The sequence below is a fragment of the Homo sapiens genome, chromosome 7 (assembly GCF_000001405.40).
Source record: "Homo sapiens chromosome 7, GRCh38.p14 Primary Assembly".
In the NCBI taxonomy this organism is placed as follows: domain Eukaryota; kingdom Metazoa; phylum Chordata; class Mammalia; order Primates; family Hominidae; genus Homo; species Homo sapiens.
The window spans coordinates 104,184,203-104,208,021 of record NC_000007.14 but is presented as its reverse complement, the minus strand read 5'-3'; the positions used below and the strand labels follow the sequence as shown (position 1 = coordinate 104,208,021).

Sequence of the window (23,819 nt, the reverse complement as noted above, 5' to 3'; positions counted from 1 at the left end):
GACGCTGCGGGTCCGGTTTCCGGCGGGAGCGTGGGCCGCCAGACTCGGGAGAGGCTCCGTCTTGTGCAAGGGTCCTGTGGGCTGGCTGCACTGGCCTCTGCGGTGGTGCCTGCCAGAATGCCCCACTTGGAAAACGTGGTGCTTTGTCGCGAGTCTCAAGTGTCCATCTTGCAGTCCTTGTTTGGAGAGGTATTGTAGTTAAACTGTCTTCCAGATCCTGGAGGCAGACGTTTCGGTAGTCTTGCGACCTGTTCCAATATTTGTTTTTTCGTGTTTGGATTGAGGGCCAAAAGGCCGTTTTTACGTTAAATAGGGGTGTTGTGGTTCTGTACTGCAGCTTCACCCACAGTCTCTTCCGAATATTGAAGAGGAGACAGTCTGAGAGCGACCGGCCTGCACTATAGGACGTTGCCTAAGACGTATTTGAAACACGCCACACTTTTCAGAAGTTTGCCCACATTAGCTCCTAGAAGTTGCTTGTTATCTTACCCCAACCCAATGACATTTATGTAACAGATGTGTTTGCAGGGTGTTATTTATTCAAATGTAAGTTCACACGTTTCTGTGCGGTAGTTGGAGTGAGTCAAGTGTAGAGAGGTGGTTGCTTTCAAGGCCACTAAGGGCCAAAGCAGTGCTTCAGGTTTAAAAATTTACTGGCTTTTCCAGAATTGTAACAGTCCAGAAGAGGTCTAGGGTAAACTTTTCTCCTTAACTGATAGTTCACAGGATGCCCTAGAGAGGAGTTTGTCTTGTCTGGATGAACATAGATACGTAGGGAGTCCTTTCAATAGGCAGAGGGTAGCGTTCACCAATTCAAAATTTAACCTATTTTTGACTATTTTCTGGTGGTCTTTGATGTGCTTTTTGATTCAGACTCAATCAGAATTGGAATTAATCAAACTTGGATCTTACCTGCGAAGAGAGTGAATGAGAATTCAGGGTCATACTCATACCCCCATCTTCTGGTTTGCTTTTTTAAGTACAGTCATGCGTTGCTGCCACTTAGTGAGGGGGATACGTCCTGAGAAATGCATCGTTAGGCAATTTAATCCCTGTGAATATCAGAAAGTGTATTTACACAAACCTAGATGGTGTAGCCTGCTATACACCTAGGCTGTATGGTGTAGCCTGTTCCTCCTAGGCTATAAACCTCTACAGCGGTGCTACTATACTGAATACTGTAGGCAGTTGTAACACAGTGATAAGTCTGCATCTAAAAGTGTCTAAACATAGAAAAGGTACAGTGAAAATAGGGTATTATAATCTTATGAGATCACTGTTGTATATGTGGTCCATCTTTGAATGTACACGTGACTGTACTTTCATCCAACTAGAAATATTGCATGGCAATTTGAGGTGGCCTGTGAAGCATTAGTGGAAAAGTACTACCCTCTGTCTAAAGGGGTGCATTATTTAGGGAAGTTAGAGGTCAACAACTGCATCTTCAATTAATTTTCTATTTATACTGCTTTCAATTATAGTTATATTATTACTGGAGCATTTTCTTGATTATGTTCTCTGCATTTCATCTATGGAACGCAGATCACTCCAGCCAGAAATGTTCCTGCTGAAAGAGCAAATTGGCAAATAGGGATGAGTAAACTTAGTGGTGGATCACAGAAGAGTTTTTGACCTTTGCTTTTAATGAAAATTATGTTTAACAATATTTTAATATCAGTTTTCTGCAAGGTGCTGTGCATGTGGGAAATACAAACAACTATAGCAAAGAAATATAAAAAATTGGTTCATGTTTCTAAGAATACTCATTTATTTGTTCAATAAATAAATATTTACCGAGCACCTTTTCTGTGTCAGGTACTAGCTTATTGCAGTTTATGTTAGCGAGATTTATGAAGGTGAAAGGTTAAATAACAGTGGAACAGTTCAATATAATTCTAGGTCACAATAGAAAAGATGTTTAAGGTATTATTAGGCAACAACATGTAATGGATAGCAGAGATACTCAGCAACATGCATTTAATTCTTGAGACAGAATTTTTTGTTTTTGTTTTTTGAGACAGGGTTTGGCTTTCTTTCCCAGGCTGGAGTGCAGTGGCATGATCTTGGCTCACTGCAGTCTCTGCCTCCCAGGCTCAAGCAGTCCGCCCACCTCAGCCTCCGAGTAGCTGGGACCACAGGTGTTTGCCTCCAAGCCTGGCTATTTTTGTGTTTTTTGTAGAGATGGGGTTTCACTGTATTTCCCAGGCGAACTCCTGAACTCAAGTGATCTGCCTGCCTTGGCCTCCCAAAGTGTTGGGATGACAGGCTTGAGCCACTGCATCCTGCTGAGACAGAATTTTTGGGCCAGTTAATTTATGATTGTTACATATAAACTTCAGAAAAAGATTCATGTATTACATTACCTATTCATTTCAAGTAAATTTTTAGTCTATTTTTAGCAGTTGAGCTGCTTTTGCCATAGCTGTATGCCATTTAGAAAGTCTTTTTCCTGCGTAAATCTGAGTTCCTGATTTGTCTTGTAAAAGGAAATGTTTAACTTAGTGACTTGAATGTAATAAATGTTTGTGACTGTTGCTGTAATCGATGATAATTAATAGAGACTTAACTTTCTGATAGAAATTGCATAATCCCATTTTCTTGTAATTATTTAAAAAAATGTATTATTAAAAAATAGGCCAGGCACAGTGGCTCACACCTGTAATCCCAGCACTTTGGGAGGCTGAGGCAGGCAGATCACAAGGTCAGGAGTTTGAGACCAGCCTGACCAACATGGTGAAACTCCGTCTTAACTAAAAATACAAAAATTAGCTGGGTGTGGTGGCACACACCTGTAATCCCAGCTACTCAGGAGGCTGAGGCAGGAGAATCGCTTAAACCCGGGAGGCAGAGGTTGAAGTGAGCCGAGGTCACGCCATTGCACTCCAGCCTGGGTGACAGGGTGAGACTCCATCTCAAAAAAAAAAAAAAAAAAAAAGAGTATTATTAAAAAATCAAGTTTTCCCGTAATTATTTTAAAAATGTAGACTATAATTTCCTCCAAAGTAGATAATGTCTTTTACTGTTATTTGTTCTCTTCAGTACCTCATGGTTTTCAGCATTTAGTAGGTATCTAATGAAAGCGTTCATTTAAGGAATGAAGTACAAGTATTTGTAGTATTAACTAGACCAGAGAGACCTTTGACAATATTTACTTTTCTCTAAGCTGCTAACCTAATGTACTGCAAGAGGATCTTGCACATATGTATTTTAAAATAAATGCTATGCAGATTTTATTAGTGTTTTATGTGATCTAATGTATGCATTTATGCCAGCATCAGTGAGTATGCATAGTTCAGAAGTAGTCTATAAGTTTTCCTAAGAATGAGGACCCTTGAAATTCCTTTTAATCTTTTGATTATATGTACTTTATTTCATAGCATTAAAATGTATAGTGAAGTTGTGGCATCGCAGGAGATAAGAGTCTTTAAGAAGGAGTAATATAAAAATGGAGTATGAACAAAATTATCCTTGAAAAATCTCTTAAATCTGCTATGAAGTTGAAAATACTAGTTTGTATATGTAAACCTGTACGATAATAAAAATATAAATATATAGTACATAATAAAATATGCCAAATATGTTACATACATTTTAATTTCATAACAAAGAAAGTGCTTAGAGTTGAATTCAAGTAGGTTCAAAGTGTGTTGATGCATCCACAATATGCTCATTGTTAGGAATTTGGATTGAATATTTCACTTTTCCACGTACAACTTTCTCACAAGTTGATAAGTGTTTATTTTCTATTTTGTATGTGCAGCCTCATATTTGTCTTTTCTCTCGTTAGAGACATCATTTCAGCTTTCCATCCATTTTTATTTATGGACATACTGCTAGTGGAAAGACCTATGTAACACAAACGTTGTTGAAAACTTTAGAGGTAAGAATAAAAATATTAAATATTTCTTTGCCATTTTTAGTGTATAATATTGGTACTGATAATTGTGAATCTCCACAAATGCAAAATTGAACATACCACCTTTACATTACTCTCCTTCCCATATTATCTTTCTCCATGAATGGTCTACTGTCATTGACACAGTTGTCCAAACTTGCACTTTCTTAACTCTTTCCTCATCTTCCCTCATTTAGTAAATCACATCAATAAACTTAGTCTGTTGCTTCACATTGTTAAAATCATGTCTCCATCTACCTTTAATCCTAGCCATTGCTGCTAGGATTTTCATTTACCATTGTTTTTTTTCCATGTATTTCTGTAAGCCTCTTATTTGCAATCTTCACCCAGCAGCTAGGCCATGCAAATCTTAATATTTTCAGGACAGTGTTCAAGTAATTCGCCCATTGTATAAGACCTTTCATGAGCTGAATTTATCTTTCATAACACAGTGGTTAAGAGTTTGGGCTGTGGAGTCTGGCAGACTCATGTTCCTTTTTGGATTCACCAGTTAGTGCTTTCTCCATCTGCAAAGTTGGCTCATAGTGACAACATTTGGGATTAAGAGAATTAAATGTTAGCACATGGAAAGTGCTTTCTGCAGTACATAGTGCGTAGTAAGCACTCAATAAAGGTTAGCTGCTATTATTGATGAGTATTGCCATACTCCCTTTCATATCCTAAACCAGAGATGGGCAGTCTTTTTCTTAAGGGCCGGATAACTAACATTTTGTGCTTGTGGACCACGTAGTTTCTGTCTCACCTGCTTGACTCTACTGTATTGTGAAAGCAGCCATGGGCATTCTCTATGTGAATGGGCATGACTGTGTTTCAAAGCAACAGTATGTACAAAAACAGGTGGCTAGCCCACAGGCTTTGGCTTGCTAACCCCGTCCTCCTCTAGCACTGAGGATGCACGTTTAGGATAGCATACTGAACTGTGTACAGTTCCTGCTGTCTTACTTTCAAGCCATGGCACATGTTGCTCCCCTACTTGGAATGGCTTTCCTGTACTCGCTCTTCCTGTTGCTTGGCAAATGCTTATTTATTTTGCCAGGTTTTCTTCTACTTATACTCTACAAGGTCTTTCCTGATCCTCTAGGCTGTATCAGATGCCCCCCTGTTTTGCAACCTTAGCACCCTGTGCTTAATTCTGTCATAATATTTAGCCTTCTCAGCTATGATTTTGTGTTTATGTTTCCCTGGCTTTAGATTGTGAGTTTCTTGAAATTATCCCCAGCACCAAGCACATTACTTGGCACGTATTAACTTGTGGATTTCAGCTTATTAAGTTGTAGATTTCAGCTTTTGATCTCAAAGATCAGCTGTGCATTTTAAAAAACACATATGCCTGGGCTATATACTGGACTTCAGAATCTGAGTGTACAAGGTCTTGGTCCAGGCATTTGCATTTCAGAACCCCCTGAATGAAGTGCCCCCAAAATATATGTTGAATAAAAGCAATAAAACCCAGTAAGGAAGTTTCATATTTAAGGACTGTATTCCATTTTTTATCACACTGTAGTTTCTGCTGTTACTTAATCAGTGTAATATATGATTATTGTTACTACTTCTGATACAGGGACTCAGACAGGCACTTAGAATATGCTGCCTTTAAAAGTCATGGATGGTACAAATGCCGTAAGCAAGACACTATTCATAACAGAGATGTTGTGGACTTTTGTTCTTAAAGGACAGTAAAGGAGTGAGAGAGAAGTGAGTTAGCAAATGCTGGTGAAACTGTCCCCAAGTAAGTTTAATGTGGCTTTAGTGACACTGTTATTCAGAGAAAGAAAAGCCTCCTTATTGGATAAAGTTTATAAAATCACTAAAAATAGTTACCAGTTCCATTATTTGTGCCAAGTGCCACAAGTTATCTTCCTCAGAATGAATCTGCTTTTGTGATCTTATTTTGAGGATAGACTGTATTGGTGAGCAAGTCTCGTTTGTGACCTTATTACTTCTGGAGTTAACTCATGTTGATATTTTGATAGTTTTTTAAATGAAGGGCTAGTTTTTTTTGTTTTGTTTTGTTTTTAAATGGGGTCTTGCTCTATTGCCCAGGTTGGAGTGCAGTGTTATGATCATAGCTCATTGCAGCCATGAATTCCTGGGCTCAAGTGATACTTCCACCTCAGCCTCCCAAGTAGCTGGGACTATAGATGTGCACCACCAGGCCTGTCTAATTTTTTTTACTTTTTTAAAGACAGAGTCTCACTGTGTTTCCCAGGCTGATCTTGAACTCCAGGGGTCAAATGATCCTCCCACCCATCCTAAAGCACTGGGATTACAGGCAGGAGCCATATGCCTAGCAAAGAGCTAGTGCTTACAGTCCTCGTAGGAGGATTGCTATGGTTTCTAACTCTTAAAATTCTTTTTTTTTTTGACTTAGTAAACGTTTATTCAAGGATATTATATTAAAGTTATAAGTGTGAAATTCCTATTAAGATTTTTAACATTCAAATATGCTTAGATTTCTTTTCTTTTTTTTTTTTTTTTAATAGTGACAGGGTCTCGCTATGTTGCCCAGGCTGGTCTGGAACTCCTGACCCAAAGCCTTGGGATTACAGACATGATCCACCATGCCTGGCTGATTTCTTTATAAGAATTCTTTATAGGAAAATACAAATTTGCTTTGAATTTCCATAAGAAAGAAATGGCAAGCTGAAAGAAATAATTGAAGTGAGTTTAATGAAGGGACAGTTTTATAATGGAAATTTTATGGGAATCACTAAGGGATGATGGTACACCAGGGCCTTTACCACCTCCAGGCCTGAAGGGACCATAGAAAGGAGCTGTTATTGGAACCAAACAAGAGGTGTAGCCTTAGAAGAGGGGCTGTCCAACTTGATCTTTGGTAGAAGAGTATCCACTGCCAAGCTAGGGCCACTGAGGGGTCATGGTGGGAGTCAAGGAAATCAATATCCAAACTTCTCTCCCACCATTCTCCCTTAGTCTCCTGCTGGTTCTTTCCATTGGCTTCTCCATCCAGAGACAGAAAATAAGAGAGTCCAGGTGATGTAATTCTGTAGCTGTCAGGCTCTTGGGGCATGGGGTGGGTTTGGTGGGATATAGATTTAGAAAGGCAAATGGAGACTATCCAGCACAGCCATTATTGTGTTTGTGTGTTTTCTTCTTTACTTACAGTGTTTTGGTTTTCGTTTTCAGCTCCCACATGTGTTTGTGAATTGTGTTGAATGCTTTACATTGAGGCTGCTTTTGGAACAAATTTTAAACAAATTGAATCATCTTAGTTCTTCAGAGGATGGATGTTCTACTGAAATAACCTGTGAAACATTTAATGACTTTGTTCGCTTGTTTAAACAAGTAACCACAGCTGAAAATCTTAAAGATCAGACTGTATATATTGTAAGTAATTTCATTTGATTAGATCATCTCTTATCTTGAAAACTGATAATTTATTAGATCAATTTTCATATATTTGTTTTGAGTCTCATTATGTACAGTGCTCTGTGCCAGGTGCTTTTAGTATACAGAAATGTATTAAATATATTCCTTATCCAAGGGAAGCTTCATTTAATAGAAAAGGTATGACACATACATACGACTACATGCAGAATGTGATAAGTGATTGTCACCAGATGCAAAATATTGACTGTGTGTGTCCAATACAGCTTCATGAGGTATTAGCATTTGAGACAGACCTAAATGAATCAGAGTATTCTAGGAAGAAATTGAAGTAGAGGAATTTCAGATAGAATTATATAAGTAAAGGCATGCAGCTGAAAATGGAGGCCAGAGAGTACCAAATAGTCTAGTTTTAGTGGGTTATAAAGTATGACGGGAGAAAAAGAAGACTGGAAGATAGGTTGGGCAGATTGTGGAAGGTCTAGAAAACTATACTAAAGCACTTCATTTAATTTCTTAGGGAGTGGATAGGAGATAGTAAAGACTTTAGAGCAACAAATATGCCTGGTTACTCTGAAGACATGTTAAAATGATCATCTTTGGAATTGGATAAGAACTACCCAAGACTGGATAGTTTATAAAGGAAAGAGATTTAATTGACTTACAGTTCAGCGTGGCTGGGGAGGCCTCAGGAAACTTATAATCAGCAGAAGGCAAAGGGGAAGCAAGGCACCTGCTTCACAAAGTAGAAGGAAGGAGAAGCTCCTTATAAAATCGTCAGATCAGATGTGAGCTCACTATCACAAGAACAGCATGGGGGAACCACCCCCAAGATTCATTTACCTCCACCTGGTCTCTCCCTTGACACATGGAGATTATGGAGATTACAAGTTAAGATGAGATTTGGATGGGGACACAAAGCCTGACCACACCATTCCACACTTGGCCTCTCCCAAATCTCATGTCGGTTTCACATTTCAAAGTCAACTGTGGCTTCCCAATAGTCCCCCAAAGTCTTAACTCATTCCAGCTTAATTAGCCCAAAAGTCCAAGTCCAAAGTCTCATCTGAGATAAGGCAAGTCCCTTCCACCTATGAGCCTATAAAATCAAAAGTAAGTTAGTTACTTTCTAGATACAATGGAGATACAGGCAATGGGTAAATACAGCCTTTTCAAATGGGAGAAATTGGCCCAAACAAAGGGGCTGTAGGCCCCAAGAAAGTCTGCAATCCAATAAGGCAGTCATTAAACTTTAAAGTTCCAAAATGATCTCCTTTGACTCCATGCCTCACATCCAGCCCACTGATGCAAGAGTGGGCTCCCACAGCCTCATGCAGCTCGACCTCTGTGGCTCCATGCCTCACATCCAGCCCACTGATGCAAGAGTGGGCTCCCATGGCCTTGTGCAGCTCCACCTCTGTGGCTTTGCGGGGTACAGTTGCCCTCTCTGCTGTTTTCACAGGCTGGCGTTGAGTATCTGTGGCTTTTCCATGCACACAGTGCAAGCTGTTGAATCTGCCATTCTGGGGTCTGGAGGATGGTGGCCCTCTTCTCATAGCTCCACTAGGCAGTGCCCAGTGGGGACTCTGTAGGGGGGGTCCAACCCCACATTCCCCTTCTGTACTGCCCTAGTAGAGGTTCTCCATGAGGGCCCTGCACCTACAGCCAACTTCTGCCTGGACATCCAGGCATTTCTGTACATCCTCTGAAATCTAGGCAGAGGTTCCCAAACGTTAATTCTTGATTGCTGTGCACCTGCAGGCCCCACATGTAAGCCGCCAAGGCTTGGGGCTTGCACTCTCTGAAGCAACAGCCTGAGCTATACGCTGGCCCCTTTTAGCCATGAGTGGGGATGCAGGACACCAAGTTCCGAGACTGCACAAAGCAGCAAGGCCCTGGCCCACAAAACCATTTTTCCCTCTTAGGCCTCTGGGCCTGTAATGGGATGGGCTGCCACGTGAAGACCTTGGAGACATTTTCCCCGTTGTCTTGGCTGTTAACATTTGGCTCCTTGTTACTTATGCACATTTCTGCAGCTGGCTTGAATTTCTCCCCAGAAAATGGGTTTTTTCTTTTCTACCTCATGGTCTGGCCACAGATTTTCCAAAGTTTTATGCTCTGCTTCCCTTTTAAATGTAAGTTCCAGTTTTAGATAATCTCTTTGTGAATGCATATGACTGAATGCTTTCAGAATCAGCCAGGTCACCTGTTGAATGCTTTGCTGCTTAGAAATTTCTTCCACCAGATACCCTAAATCATCTTTCTCAAGTTCAAAGTTCCACAGATCTCTAGGGCAGGGGCAAAATGCCACCCTTCTCTTTGCTAGAGCATAGCAAGAGTCACTTTTATTCCCTGTCCCCAATTAGTTCCTCATGTCCATCTATGACCACCTCAGTCTGTACTTCATTGTCCATATCACTATCAACATTTTGGTCAAAGCCATCTAACAAGTCTCTAGGAAGTTGCAAACTTTCCCATTTCTTCCTGTCTTCTGAGCCCTCCATCCTGTTCCAACCTCTGCCTATTACTCAGTTGCTATAACAGACTACCAAGGACTGGGTAATTTATAAAGAAAAGACATTTATTTCTCACAGTTGTGGAGGTTAGGAAGTCAAAGGTTGAGGTCCCTGCATCTGGCAAGGGCTTTCTTGCTGCCTCCTCTCATGATGAAAGTAGAAGTACAAGAGAGGATGAGAGTGAGAGCAAGAGGTGGCAGAAGTCCCTTTTATAATAAAGCCATTCTCTCAATAACCCACTCCCTTGATAACAATATTAATTCATTCATGAGGACAGAGCCCTTATGACTTAATCATCTTTTATGCAGCTTCTCTTCCCAATACTGCCACACTGGGGATTAAGTTCCAACACATGAACTTTGGGGGACATAGTCAAATCATGTCATTTTGTAAAGGCTTTGTAAATGCATTTCTTTTTGTTTTGTTTTTTTGTTTTTTAAAGGTTCTAGATAAAGCAGAGTATCTAAGAGATATGGAAGCAAATCTTTTGCCTGGATTTCTTAGATTACAAGAATTGGTAAGTAATGTGAGAAAGTGCTTTCTCCCCACAACTTAATCAATGGATTGTGTTGTAAAAGTTTTTCATTTTGCTATTTGATAGGTGAGAATTAGTATTTTAATATAATTTTAGTTTGCATTTCTTTTATCAGTAAAGCTCAGTGTTTTTTTCATAGTAAAATCAGTTGGTGATTTGATAGCATTTATTCTTCAATTATTTTAGCTTTTTCTCTGTAATTATGAAGTCACTGCTTTCTATTAAAAGTTTTAGATGTTGCTAGAATAAATGGCAGAGGGCCAGACTTTAAAATCTCAAGGATTTTAAAATTTTCTTTGCATTTCAAAATAAGGATAATCTAAAATAAGAATAGCATGGCTATTCTGGATCATCTGGATTTCTACCTTATAATCACTCAGTGTCAGAGTTTACTTTTGTATTTCAGTTTACTCTTGTGTTGGCTTCACAAAGTACAGTAAGTCCTCACTTAACATCTCAGTAGATTCTTGGAAATTGCAACTTTAAGTGAACTAGCCTACAGCAGGTTCTTCCTTACCTTCAGCATCATTTCATTATAACATTGTTGAGGAAAAAAAATTGGTTTCATTATATGTTGCACTTAAAGTCACAGTTTCCCAGAACCTATCAACAATATTAAGCGAAGGGTTACTAATTAATTCTACTGTGAATGTCATGGCCCAATAAGAAAAGGACAGGGGCGGACTTACTAGGCATTTGTGTCAGGTGAAAGCCAAATAATATCACAGATGAAACAGGGTTTTGTAATAGTTTGAATAAGGAAAATTGGTGAGGGAAATAGCTGTGGTTGTTTCCAGGTGAAACCATATTCACCGTATTCATAAAGGGAATAAAGATTTAGTTTGAGCAAAACAATACTATTCAATATATTCAGTTAATATTAATTTCAATTTTATTGGTTTTATAGTTCGTATTTATAAATTTATTTTGGTTTTATAATTTTGTAAGTGCTTTGAGTATAAGCAGTTTATACCTACCTAATTTTATGTTTGTATGTATTAAAGTATTAAGTAATATTATAATAAAGTAAATACTTGGGGAGAAGTGCTTAAAGCATTTCTGCCTTTCAAAGTTAAATACATTACTCAAATTTGAGAATCTGCTGGAAGTTTAGAGAGGCCACTGAAATTACTGTGTGCCCAAGGCTGACTCCTGAAGTTTACTTTTAGTAATAGTTGAGGGACGAGAGGTATAGAGAGGACAGGATAATAAGTGTAGCTATTGGTGGCCTATTCTGGAAGTTAACCTCACACAGTCTTGCTTTTCTTTGTTTCATTAACTCTTGACATTTTATTACTGAGACTCAAGATCTATCTTCTTTGAGTAGATGTCTACTCATTTCCTATTTCCTTTCCTTTTATTTATTTGTTTCATTTGTATTTGTGGGTTTTCGCATACTCATCCACTATTTCCTGTTGCTTTGCTCTAGAACTCACCATCTGGTATCCAGAGTGCAGTATTGTCTTCTTGCCTTTTCAGTGTAGATCACCCTGTTTTTTCCTCCTTATGCCCAGTAATGGTGATCATGCATCCCTTCACAACAATTAGGACTTTTCACCGTTTTTTAGTTTCAATTACAGAAACTGTTTGAAGAAAATTAAAAGATTTAGAGTAATCTCAGCTGAACTGGAAAAGAGAATTGCTTTGACATTTCTGCAAACATGCTTGATTTTTAAAAATGTATTTCATTTAAGAGAAATCTGGCAAAAGCATTTCTCATTTTTTTATGTTAAGTATTTATCTAAGTAAAGGGAAGTTTAAAATATGGTGGATATCATGTATACTGAAAGTACTTATCAGATGAATAGATGAGAACATTACCAATTTAAAATCTTTCTGCCCAATAAATATCTTCTTCTTTTAAGCCTCTCAATATATTTAAACTGATTTTATAAAATGCTTTTAGATAATCATATTTTTATAGCAAAAACAATTCAATAATTTGTTATTAGGAATGTGATTAGGGCATGCTATTTTACCCCTCTAGAAATAAATTCAGAGATTCTTAAAAAATCAGATCCAATATGATGGCTAATGCCTATAATTCCAGCACTTTGAGAGGCTGAGGCAGGAGGATCGCTTGAGTCCAGGAGTTCAAGACCAGCCTGGGCAACATACAGAGATCCTGTCTTTATAAAAGATACAGAATTTAGCTGGGCATGGTGGCACATGCCTCAGCTACTTGAGAGGTATAGGAGGATCACTTATGCCTAGGAGGTTGAGGCCACAGTGAGCTGTGATTATGCCACTGCACTCCAGCTTGGATGTGTGACAGTTTGCAAACGAATGAGCTCCTTGATTAGGTTTTCTAAATATGGTTTATTAATATGCAAATAATTTGTTATAGGTTAGAACTCTGGGGGGATGTATTTGAAAGAAAAATCCAAATGGAAATACTGCTCCGATTAAGATTTTTAAATGCGAAGTTACTTTTATTTCTTTCTTTTTACAGGCTGACAGAAATGTGACTGTTCTCTTTCTCAGTGAAATTGTTTGGGAAAAGTTTCGTCCAAATACTGGATGCTTTGAGCCGTTTGTCTTATATTTCCCTGATTACAGCATAGGTAAACCTTAAAACATTGTTTTGGCAAATGATATGCAGGAGAATAGTTTTTGTTGTTTGAAAGATTAAACTAGCATATTCAAATGGGAATACTTTGTTATTCCCATTTGATATTCAAATGGGAATTATAAATTTGATATTCAAATGGGAATTTGATATTGAAATGGGAATATCAAAGTATTATTGCCATTCAAATGGGAATATCAAAGTATTAAACTGTTAAGGTTTGCTGCCAATCTCAAATAAGATGTTTGTATTTCTGCACTTACAAAATTTTTATTTTGGAACTGTGAGAGGTTATTGTATAATTACTACATTTTTTTGGATGAGCAGCTCTCATATTTGTGCTAATGTATCTTCATTTTTTTAGTCACTACATTAAGATGTATATTTATATTGTGATTATGACATCTGTACGAATAATCAGACTAGACTTGTAAAGCATATTAAGAGTGTTGAAATCTTCATTTACCATATACTTGGGTTAAGTACCATGTTGCGCTTATATCTTTTGATTTTATAAATCTCATTTTCTTTACTGTAACTCATACAGTACCAATTACCAGCCCTTGTGTTTCTTATTTTCTTGGGGGCTCTATTTAATCTTAAATTTCATAGATCCTGATGATTTTGGTCTTTGGAAGAACACAATAGCTTTTTGTGTTGCTGAATAGCTTTGTGGATTAAGACTGGGCTGTCATACAGAGATGATACTTGGGATTCAGAGATTATAACTGTGAAGTATAAGATGGTTAGCAGTCTATAAAAAAATAGCATTCCATGACCTTGGCCTCATTAACACTATCCCTCTGAACTAATCAGCTGTAAACATACCTTAAGATTAACACATTTTTGTCTGTTTCCACCAGAACAGCAGTGAAATAACACCTTCTGTCATAGCCAATTAGCTGAGTTTTTTTTTAAACAGCAACCCAAAATAGATGGAGTCTTTATTGTCATTAATTTCTCATCCATAAAAATCCCAAAATAAAAAAGGGTAAGAGGAAAAGTGATAAAGGATTTTATTTAAAAAAAAAAAAAAAAGGCTCTGTACCTGTGTCAGCACTGTTCATAGTTCAGTTTTTCATGACCCATTTTAAGTACTGAAAAATTATTTAGAATTTAAGAAAATTATTAAAAAATGTTGATATTACACATTTCAGTCAAGTTGAATTAATGTAAGTAATTACAGAATTAAATTTTTAAAATTCTATAATTTAAATTTATAGATTTAAAATTTAAAAAGTAAAGATACAAAGCAGCATAGATGAAAGTTTGAGGACAAAAGTAAATAAAATGGTCTTACTAATTTTAGTGAGTATAGGATAATAGATTTTTGCAAAGTATATAATAATGGAGCCAAGTTAAATTCTGATTATTAAATTTTAGGGGGTTTTACATATTCAGTTTTGTTTTTTTTTTTTAAGCAAAAACACTGTAGTCAGACAAAAAGCCATTCAGAAGGGGAATATTAATTGATAAGTTGAAATTATGGTTAAGTGTGGAACCAGGGCAAAGAGATTATCTAAGTGATTAGTGTTACCTTGTCGTAATAACTTGAAACATGTCCTTTTCAGGAATATGGTGTCTGATTTTAAGGACCGCTCTCCTCTTAGCAGTTATGGCTAGGAGCCCAGTTTGGAAGTCGTTTTCTGGTCTTTACCTCATGCAGACTACTCATCTTTCAATGATGGATATTTTTTCTTTAGAGAGATTATAATGCATTTGATTAGGTTTTTGGTTTAGTTATTGTGTCAGTTTGGATAGATTAAGTTATGTTCTGATAACAATCTGAAATTTCAGTGACTTACAGTTTCCTACCTAAGAACATTTGTACTGCTGTTGTCTTACATTTTACTTCTATATTTATTATAAACCATGTAATACTATATTAATTATAAAACCTCAACTATTATTATAAACCTCAGATATTAAATATTATTATTTTGGCTTTAAAAAATAACAGGACAAAAAAGAAAATAACTTTTATTGTTTATCCTGCTGGGGATTTGTTGAGTTCTTAAGTCTGTGGGTGTATAGTTTCATCAGCTTTGGAAAAATTTCAGGCAGTGTTTCTTCAAATATTTTGTCTGCCCCCCTCACCTTTTCTTCTCTATCTTTTTTGTGTGGGATTGCATTATAGCTATGTTAGAGCACTTTATATTGTCCCACTGAAAGTCTGTTTATTTAAATTTTAAATCTGTGTGTGTGTGTGTTTTATTTGGGATTGTTTTTTGTTTCTATATCTTTCAGTTCACTGACTTCTTTTTTTTTTTTTAACAAGTGTCTAGTGGGCAGCTAATCTAATCCTGTAGAATATTTCATTACTGATCTCATTATGCTTTTGTTTTCTTTTGTATCCTTGAGCATATGAGCATACTTATGATAGTTGTTTTAATTTTCTTGTGTACTAATTCAGTTACCTCTTTTGTTTTGGGTTTGTTCCCACCGAGTAATTTTTCTCCATCTTGGGTATCCATTATGCTTTTTCATGTGTCTAGTAGTTTTTGATAGAATTATAGACATTGTGCTTTTTGTTGTGTTTTGGACTTTTTCTCATTAGCATTTTTAATTACTTACAGATACAGTTGACCCTTTTAAGGCTATTTTTAAGCTTTTTTTGGAGAGATGATCCAGAGTAGCCATTATTCCAGGGCTAATTTTAGCTCTACTTCTAAGACATAGTTTTTCTGGAATCTCTACTGAATGCCCTGTATGTTTAGCATGGTCTCTGCCTTCTGACTAGTGGCAACATGAAAAATTCACAGCCCTGTGTGATTTCTGGGAATTGACATATAGCTCTCCAATAATTGTTTTTTCCCTAAAAGTTGTTCTTGCATGGCTAGGGTTTTACCCTATGCATACACAGATTGGTATTAAGCTAAGACTTGAGGGGAACCCCTGTACAGATTTCTGGAGCTCTTTTTTGGCATAGCTTCCTCCCCTCAGGTACTCTGCCCTGCAAATTCTAGCTACCTCAGCTCCCTCAGCTCTGGTCTCTGTCTCCTCAACTCAGTAGGATAAATGAGCTCCTTTTGAAAGTCTCCTTGTACCACAGTCTTAAAATTACTTCTTGTTAGAAAGCCTGGCTGATGGTAGGACTCACCTTATTTGTTTACCTTTTCTCAGGTATTACGGTCCGTTACTGCCATTTGTTTGATATTTAAAAATAGTTGTTTTCTATAGTGTGTCCAGTTTTTAATTGATTATTAGAGGAGGGTATTTCTGGATGTTCCTACTCCCTCACAACTGGAAGCAGAAGTCTCTCTCCAAGGTAGGAATGGCTTTTCTTTGCACATTAGCCTATACTTGGATAGTGAAATTTTAAGACCCAAGGAGACAACCAGTGGGTTTCTCCTACCCTTTGTTTACTACCTCATGATACACTGTTTTCAGCTTTCTATTATAGATGGGATTTTTTTTTAATGAATTTGAATAGTCCTAGACTGTTAGAGCTGGCATGACTTGCTTATTATAGAATTATACTCTGAGATTTTTGTCTGTAGTCTATAAACAAGTTGCTAGGTTACTTTTACAGCAACACAGTGAGGATTCCTATTCTTATAAGACTTTCATCAGGGCTGAAATCGGCCGGTGATAACATCTAATCAACTGTCTTATGGGATACAGAGGGCTACCTGTAAGGAATACCTAGATGGAGATGTTCAAGGGGTACTCAGAAGTGCAGTCTGAGCTGGAGACTCAACTGTTTTCCAGATTTTCTTAGCCATTCATTTATAGAAGTTTGTTGTTGTTGTTGTTTTGCTTTATGTATGTTAATCTCTGTGATCATTTATCTCTTCCTTCCATCTCTCTTTTCTTACATCCATCCAGTTATTTGGTAGGTTTTATAGGTAGATATCTTTGTTTCTAAGTTTTATGGTACCTTTTAGAAATTTTCAGTATATTAACTATTTCCCCATGCCTAGTTAAAAAAACTTAGTGACATTATATTTAAAGTTTGCTATTAGAATGTAAAAGTACATGGACTCTACAGGGAAGTTTTGGCTTTTTTTTTTTTTTTCAGCAGTTTTGAAATAAAAAAGCAAATTCAGTAACAGTGTCTCATCTAGTATCCATTCAGGCTAATATTCTAAGTATAAAACTAGGCTTTGAAATTTTTTTTGTCAACTTCTGTGTTTAAATATTCCTTAATAGAGCTATTTCTAAACTTCTGTTTATAAATTTTCAGATAGTTCATATATATTTTTTGATCTTGTACCTGCATCTAATTGATTGGCAGGCACAAGAGTGGTTAAAATCAAGGGCCAATGGTAAATGGCCTGGCTAAAAATACTAACTTACTGGGAACCTTAAACAAAAGGAAATTGACATGATTAGAATATCCTGGAAGAGTTTTTCCTTGTAATTTTTGCAAAAAACTTGAGCCCTCTGGAACTAGGTTTAAAGTTGTAGTCATATGCAAAGAGCTCTTAACTAAGAAGTCTAAGGAGAGCATTGCACCAAGAAGTCAGAGGATCTTACAATAAGGAATGAATGACTAATTGATTCCTGTATTATGACTGGGAAATTTTGAATAATATATGGTTGTTTCCCTTTAAATTTTACTGTGTTTCTAAAATATGATTATTTCCAGCAGGATAAAGTATAAGGTTAGGACTCTTAATGTGGTATTTTATAAAGAGTCTGAGATATAATAGAAGTAGAGTAAAGATATCAAAGTTGTAGGGAGAAAATACGTTTTATACAAGGGGGAATAACAAAGTAAGGACTAGGATCAGGTGATGATTATTGTAAAAAAAGATTAATTCTTTTCATTTTATAAAACATGAAGAGCATTTTCTAGTTTGTTGGCAGTTTATGTACTATCCCCTTTTTCTTCCTAGTTGATTTACTTAATAGGAAGAAAAATAAACTAGAATCTACAGTATTTTTTCCCTTGTTACTGATTTTGCCGGTAATAAGGTTGTTGAGATTTTCTTTAGATGTCATTGTTTTCTATTTGTCTTAGTATTTAATAATTTTTTTTTTACCCTCAGTTTCAAAATTGTGATTTACTTTTTCAGAAGTATTTTTACTCAAAACACTTCTGACACCAAATGTGTGGGGTATTTTTGTTCACCCAACAACAAATTCTTCAGTTTTCTAGATATCAAATGGGTGTCCTAAAATTCAATTCACTTCTGACACTAACTACCAGAAGTTAGTGCAGACCTCACAAGTTAAGGGCTTAGTCCTACAAGAATATTAGCATTTCAGACACCATTCTAAGTCCCAGGTTTCTACCTGTACTCCAGAAAACTGGCTATAAATTGGGGTTTCACATGAGCCCCTCCTCAGGTTTGATAATTTGCTAGAATAGCTCACAGAACTCAAGGAAACACTGTACTTACTCCATTTATCATAAAGGATACAAATGAACAGCCAGATGAACAGGTACACAGGACAAGGACCAGTGGGGTCCCAAGCTCAGGAGCTTCTGTCCCTGTGGGGCTGGAGTGTGCTACCCTCTCAGCATGTGGATATATTTACTATCCTGGAAACTCTCAGAACCTCATCATTTAGGATTTTTTTATGGAGGTGCCATTATATAGTCATGATTTGATTAAATCATTGGTCATTGGTCATGGATTCAGTCTTTAGCCCTTCTCCTTTTCCCAAGGACAGGAGGTGGGGCCTTGATATGGTTTGGCTTTGTGTCCCCACTGAGATCTCATCTTGAATTATAATCCCGTAATCCCCACATGTCATGGAGGGACCTGTTGGAAGGTAATTGAATCATGGGTGCGATTCCCCCATGCTGTTCTCAAGATACTGAGTTCTCACGAAAGCTGTTGGTTTTATAAGTATCCGGCATTTTCCCTGCTGGCACTCATTCTCTCTCCTACTGCCCTGTTGAGTGCTTTCCACCATGATTGTAAGTTTCCTGAGGCCTCCCCAGCCATGCAGAACTGTGAGTCAATTAAACCTCTTTTCTTTGTAAATTACCCAGTCATGGGTATTTCTTCATAGCAGTGTATGTGACAATACAGGGCTCTAATCACTTGGTTGGTTCCTCTGACAACCAGTCCCCATCCTGAAGCTATCTAGGGGCCCGCTGTATTAGTCCATTCTCACACTGCTATAAACATACCTGAGACTGGGTAATTTATAAATTTATAAAGAAAAGGTTTAATAGACTCACAGTCTGTGGGCTGTACAGGCTTCTGCTTCTGGGGAGGCCTCAGGAAACTTGGAATCATGGTGGAAGGTGAAGGGGAAGCAAACACATCTTCACATGGCCAGCAGGAGAGAGAGCATGAAGGGGGAAGTGCTGCACACTTTGAAACAACCAGATCTCATGAGAACTCTATCACAAGAACAGCTAGGGGGAAGTCTGCCTCATGATTCAATCACCTCCCACGAGGCCCCTCCTCCACTGAAAATTTCAAATGAGATATGGGTGGGGACACAGAGCCAAACCATATCACCCATCAAGAAACACCTCATTAGTATAAATTGAGGTATGTTTTAAAAGGACTTATTATGAGTAACAAAAGATACTCCTCTTATCCTTCTCATTCAGGGAATTATGAGGGTTTTTAGAAGCTCTGTGCCAGGAACTGCAGTGAAGATCAAATATATATTTTTTATTATATCACAAATCACACTTTTGTATTCTAATCTTGTAATAGTTTTATTATTCCTTAATTGTTGCTGGGTCTGGGTGTTTTTTTTTTAATACCTTTGTTATAAAATGCTTGAAGATATGATTAGTGTACTATGTTAATCATTATAAGTTATTTTGTGTCCTGTGAACAGGCAACCTTCAAAAGATCCTGTCCCATGATCATCCTCCAGAGTATTCAGCTGATTTCTATGCTGCCTACATTAACATTCTTCTTGGAGTTTTCTACACTGTTTGTCGAGATTTGAAAGAGCTCAGACATCTGGTAAATGAACATTTTGCTTGAATATATATATATGTGTGTGTGTGTGTGTGTGTGTATACATATATGTGTATATATGTATTTTAATGTTTTCCATGTAGAAATGGTATGAGATAGGTTAGAAACTGAAATTTTATTCTGGGAATTTGCATATGGCCTCTAGAGACTAACATACCATAAGAAGGTAGATGTCTGTGGGTTAGTACAAACTTTGATTGTTTGATCTGATCAGAAAAATGTCATTCTCAGATCTTCTTACTCTTCCTTGTTTTTTCTCTAATTGCAGAAAATGCAGAACTCCATAAAAATCAAAATGAGGAATAACAGAAAAGAGATGTAAAAACTTGAGCAGTTTTACAACTCTGTTAATATTTTGTAACAGATTTTGTTCAAGTTTTATGTATGCGGTGATTGAGGTCTAGAATCTAGATGGATTTGAGTATGGTCAGAAGCTTTCATTGCAGGTCTTTCATTAACCACTGACCCTGAGCTGGTAATCTTTGTATAGATGGTTCTTTTTAATTTTTTTTTTTTAACAATTAGAATAGCTGTTTATATTTCATAGACAGTTTGGAAAATGTTGATGTTTAATTTTTCTTTGACCTTTTTTGTTTTAATTGTAGGGATGGGAAAGGAAAGAGACAAGAATTTCTGTTTTCCCTTTTAGAAATCTTCAATTAATTAAGATCTTATCTCCATTTAACAGAAAATAGTAATATATCTGAGGCTGGAAAACAGTCACTTTCAAAGTAACAGATTCTATGTCTCTTAGCACATTTTCTTCACTTTGTTCTTTTTCTGTTTTTGCCCTGAAAAGTATTACTTAGTTTCAGTGTGTGTTTGCGACAGAACACAGAAGGCAATCATTTAAAATTATGCTCACATTTAGTATGTTTTTGAAAGTTTCAGATTTCAGGGCTCCTCTGATTTACATGTAGATTTCAGACATCTTCTCAGCTGGGAAAAAACAAAACAGTTTTTCCAGTTCAAGCTTATCACTAACATTCCTCTAGAAGTTGGATGTCTTGGGATCCCTGGCTTCTGAGGGAAATGATAACACAAGAGACTTACAGAGAGGAGAGGGTCAGGAAAACGCACCTGAGTGAGATGGACTTAGGAGCAGATAATCCTCCTCGGTCTTTCCTGGAAAGTAACTTGCAGTTACCACTCTTTAGCACTCGAATCCTGTGGGAATCTGTGCTGACAGCCATTTCAAAGTAGATTATAAAGTACAAGAAGGAAAAATTTAGGGAAAATATTTATGGGAAAATAAAATGTAAAGAGAGAAATATATATTTAAATGTGGTATTTTTTAAAGTTCTTCGAGTTTCACTGTGGAATGATTTTATTTAGGGTGAGGTTACAGCTTTTTAAAAAATAATATTCATAAATGTGTAGTATGGTTTAAGTCTTATACTACTATTGGTAATAATAGAGAAAAGGATCCTTAAACATTAGAGAAAAATAGCACAATGTTCTTAGTTTTCTCTATATATAGAACATGGAAGAATAAAGATATTCATTTTCTTTTTTTTCTTCAGATAGTGTTGTTTGTGTTTGTTTCAAAGTTTGTAAGTGGCATATTTCTTGAAAGTTTATTAAATCACCTGAAAAATATTCTTTTCAGGGATCTTTTCTGGAAAGATGCTTTATGAATTGATATTTCTGTATTTTTCAGAGGCTAGTTCTATAGGTAGCTTAAGATAGGAGAAAATGAAGTACTACTTTGATATTCATTTAGGTTTGTTTTCTCTAACAAACCTTATGATACTGCCTTTTTAACTGTTATTCATAAATTATTAAACATATTTTAGTGTTTCAACCAAAGAGAAAATCAATACAGTTGCCCCTTGGTATACTTGGGGGATTGGTTCCAGGACCAGTCCCATATATATCAAAATCCTAGCACACTCAAACCCTGCGATCAACTCCGCAGAACCTGAGTGTAAAAAAGTTAGCCCTCCATATACATGGGTTTTGTATTCCCTGAGTACTGTTTTTGATCTGTGTTTGTGATCTGTGTTTGGTTGGAAAAAAAAAAAAATCTGTAGACAAGTGGACCCTCACAGTTCAAACCTATGTCGTTCAAGGGTCAGTTGTTTATTTTGATTAGCCAAATTGTGTACCAGTTGCTGTTAACATTATGACACTTTAGTGTTATTACACCATGCTTAGATCTGAAAATCTAAAATTAAGGTAAGAAAGTTTGGCTAAAGCGAATAATTTCTTTTTGATTCTTCTTCTCTACACTTAGTAGAATTTGGAAGATTTTTCTATTTTAAATCATTGTTTTTTATGAAGTAGAATAGGAAGAAATTATTTTAATGATTTGGTTCTTAGTTTTCTGTTATCTAGTTATATGTTATATAGTTACACATTTATATATATCTTTTTCTGTGCCTTATTGAATTATTTTGATATGAAATACTTGGGAACAAACTAATATATATATATTTTTTTTAAATAAATGGAATTAGTATGTTTTTAACCAGTTTGCTTAAACTGCTGTTCAGTAGAATTCCAGTGTTGATTCATGGAAAACTACTAAGTAGTTATAATTAGTTAATTAGTACTCCTCAAACTTTAGAATACATAGAGTTTCTAGAGAGATCGTTAAACATAGATTCCTGGGTCTCATCCTCAGAGATTCTGATTTGGTATGCCTGAGATGGTGCCAAGAACTTGCATTTATAACAATCGCAGGTAGTGCTGCCAATCCAAATACTTTGAGTCATACGAAACTCAATGATGTTTAGTTTATGAGAATGTTCAGACCTTAGAAAACAACAGTTAATTATTTGTGCTTGAGGTTTTTCATTATATGTTTTATGGTTCTATGTGACATAAATATAACCTAAAAGAACAAATTATGCTTTGTTACTGTAGGGAAGTTCACATTTTTACCCTGCAGTTTTGATAATTTGAATCTATAAAACAAACTAATAATAGATTAACGGGAAAAAAAAGGCATACAAATTTATTTTTTAATTTTAATTTAATTTTAAATTTAATTTTATATTAAGTTCCAGGATACATGTGCAGGGGCGTGCAGGTTTGTTACATAGGTAAAATGCGTGCCATGGTGGTTTGCTGCATCTATCAACCCCTCACCTAGGTATTAAGCCCTGCATGCATTAGCTATTGCATACAAATTTATTAATATGCATATGGGCACAGGAGCCTTACACAAAATATGAGACTCAAAAGGTGGGGGGCAGAAAGGGGGGCCAGCTGGTTCAAATTTTTATGACATCCTGAGGTTACAGAAAGAAAATGGGCTTGGAGCATGGCATAACAGGTTATTGGAGGGAGAGGAGCAAAGACTTGGTTAGGGAAGGCAGTCTTGTGCAAATGAAACCTCATAGGCAGCAACTTTCAGAAAGAATAGATGGTAGCCTGTGCTAAGTTTCTCTGTCACACCTTCAAAGGTGTCAGACCCTCAAGTCTCTTTCTTGAGAGTTAATCTTTCCTAGATCCAAGGTGGGGGGTGATCAGAGAAAGCCTGTTTGCATCTGCTGTTTTCTTATTTCCTCTACAGATGCAAATCTCCCTCACAAAATACAGCTTTTCAGGGCTGTTCTTGTGCTTGCAGCCCTTCTGATTAGCCATATCAAAATATACCAAAGAAGTATATTTTTGGTGAGATGCTCCATTCTCCTAATTTTGTATACAGAGGCTAATGTATTAGGCAGAATTTAGCCAATTAAGGAATATTTTATGTTGTGCTGTCATTATTAGTATTTTTGCTGTTTTGTTATTATAGTAATAAGCTACAATTACATTTTTTTTTAGAAAGAAGCAGGGTCTTGCCATGTTGTCCAGGCTGGAGTGCAGTGGCTGTTCACAGGTGCAGTCACAGCACACTACAGGCTTGATCTCCTGGGCTCAAGCAATCCCCCTGCCTCAGCCTCCTGAGTAGCTGGGATTACAGGCACATGCCACTGCGTATAATTACATTTGACTTGAGCAAATGTGTTAAGTAAAATTTCCTGAACTGCAATACAGATTTTACTTGAAAAATAAATTTCTAATTGTGATCGATCAGTGCTTT

General features: G+C 36.7%; 1 protein-coding gene across 4 annotated transcripts in view, besides 2 other annotated features; it reads left to right on the top strand.

Moving 5' to 3' along the window:
- ORC5 (origin recognition complex subunit 5) overlaps nt 9–23,819 on the top strand; it is an 81,673-nt gene continuing 57,862 nt past the window's right edge. For 3 of the 4 annotated variants that reach the window (NM_002553.4, XM_047420431.1, NM_181747.4), the window contains exons 1-6: nt 9–189; nt 3,788–3,880; nt 7,064–7,264; nt 10,223–10,297; nt 12,768–12,879; nt 19,641–19,771. In NM_002553.4, the coding sequence (NP_002544.1) occupies nt 118–189; nt 3,788–3,880; nt 7,064–7,264; nt 10,223–10,297; nt 12,768–12,879; nt 19,641–19,771 (684 nt within the window). In that variant the 5' untranslated portion in view covers nt 9–117. Of the gene's footprint in view, nt 190–3,787; nt 3,881–7,063; nt 7,265–10,222; nt 10,298–12,767; nt 12,880–19,640; nt 19,772–20,054; nt 23,810–23,819 lie in introns of those variants that run through there. The other variant, XM_011516273.4, reaches the window with a different exon arrangement.
- Nucleotides 41–120: an enhancer, noted in NCBI's record as "active region_26444". NCBI's record gives its function as "activates an Ori minimal core promoter by ATAC-STARR-seq in GM12878 lymphoblastoid cells {active_cell/tissue: GM12878}" and the evidence as "EXISTENCE:reporter gene assay evidence [ECO:0000049][PMID:35858748]".
- Nucleotides 161–350: an enhancer, noted in NCBI's record as "active region_26443". NCBI's record gives its function as "activates an Ori minimal core promoter by ATAC-STARR-seq in GM12878 lymphoblastoid cells {active_cell/tissue: GM12878}" and the evidence as "EXISTENCE:reporter gene assay evidence [ECO:0000049][PMID:35858748]".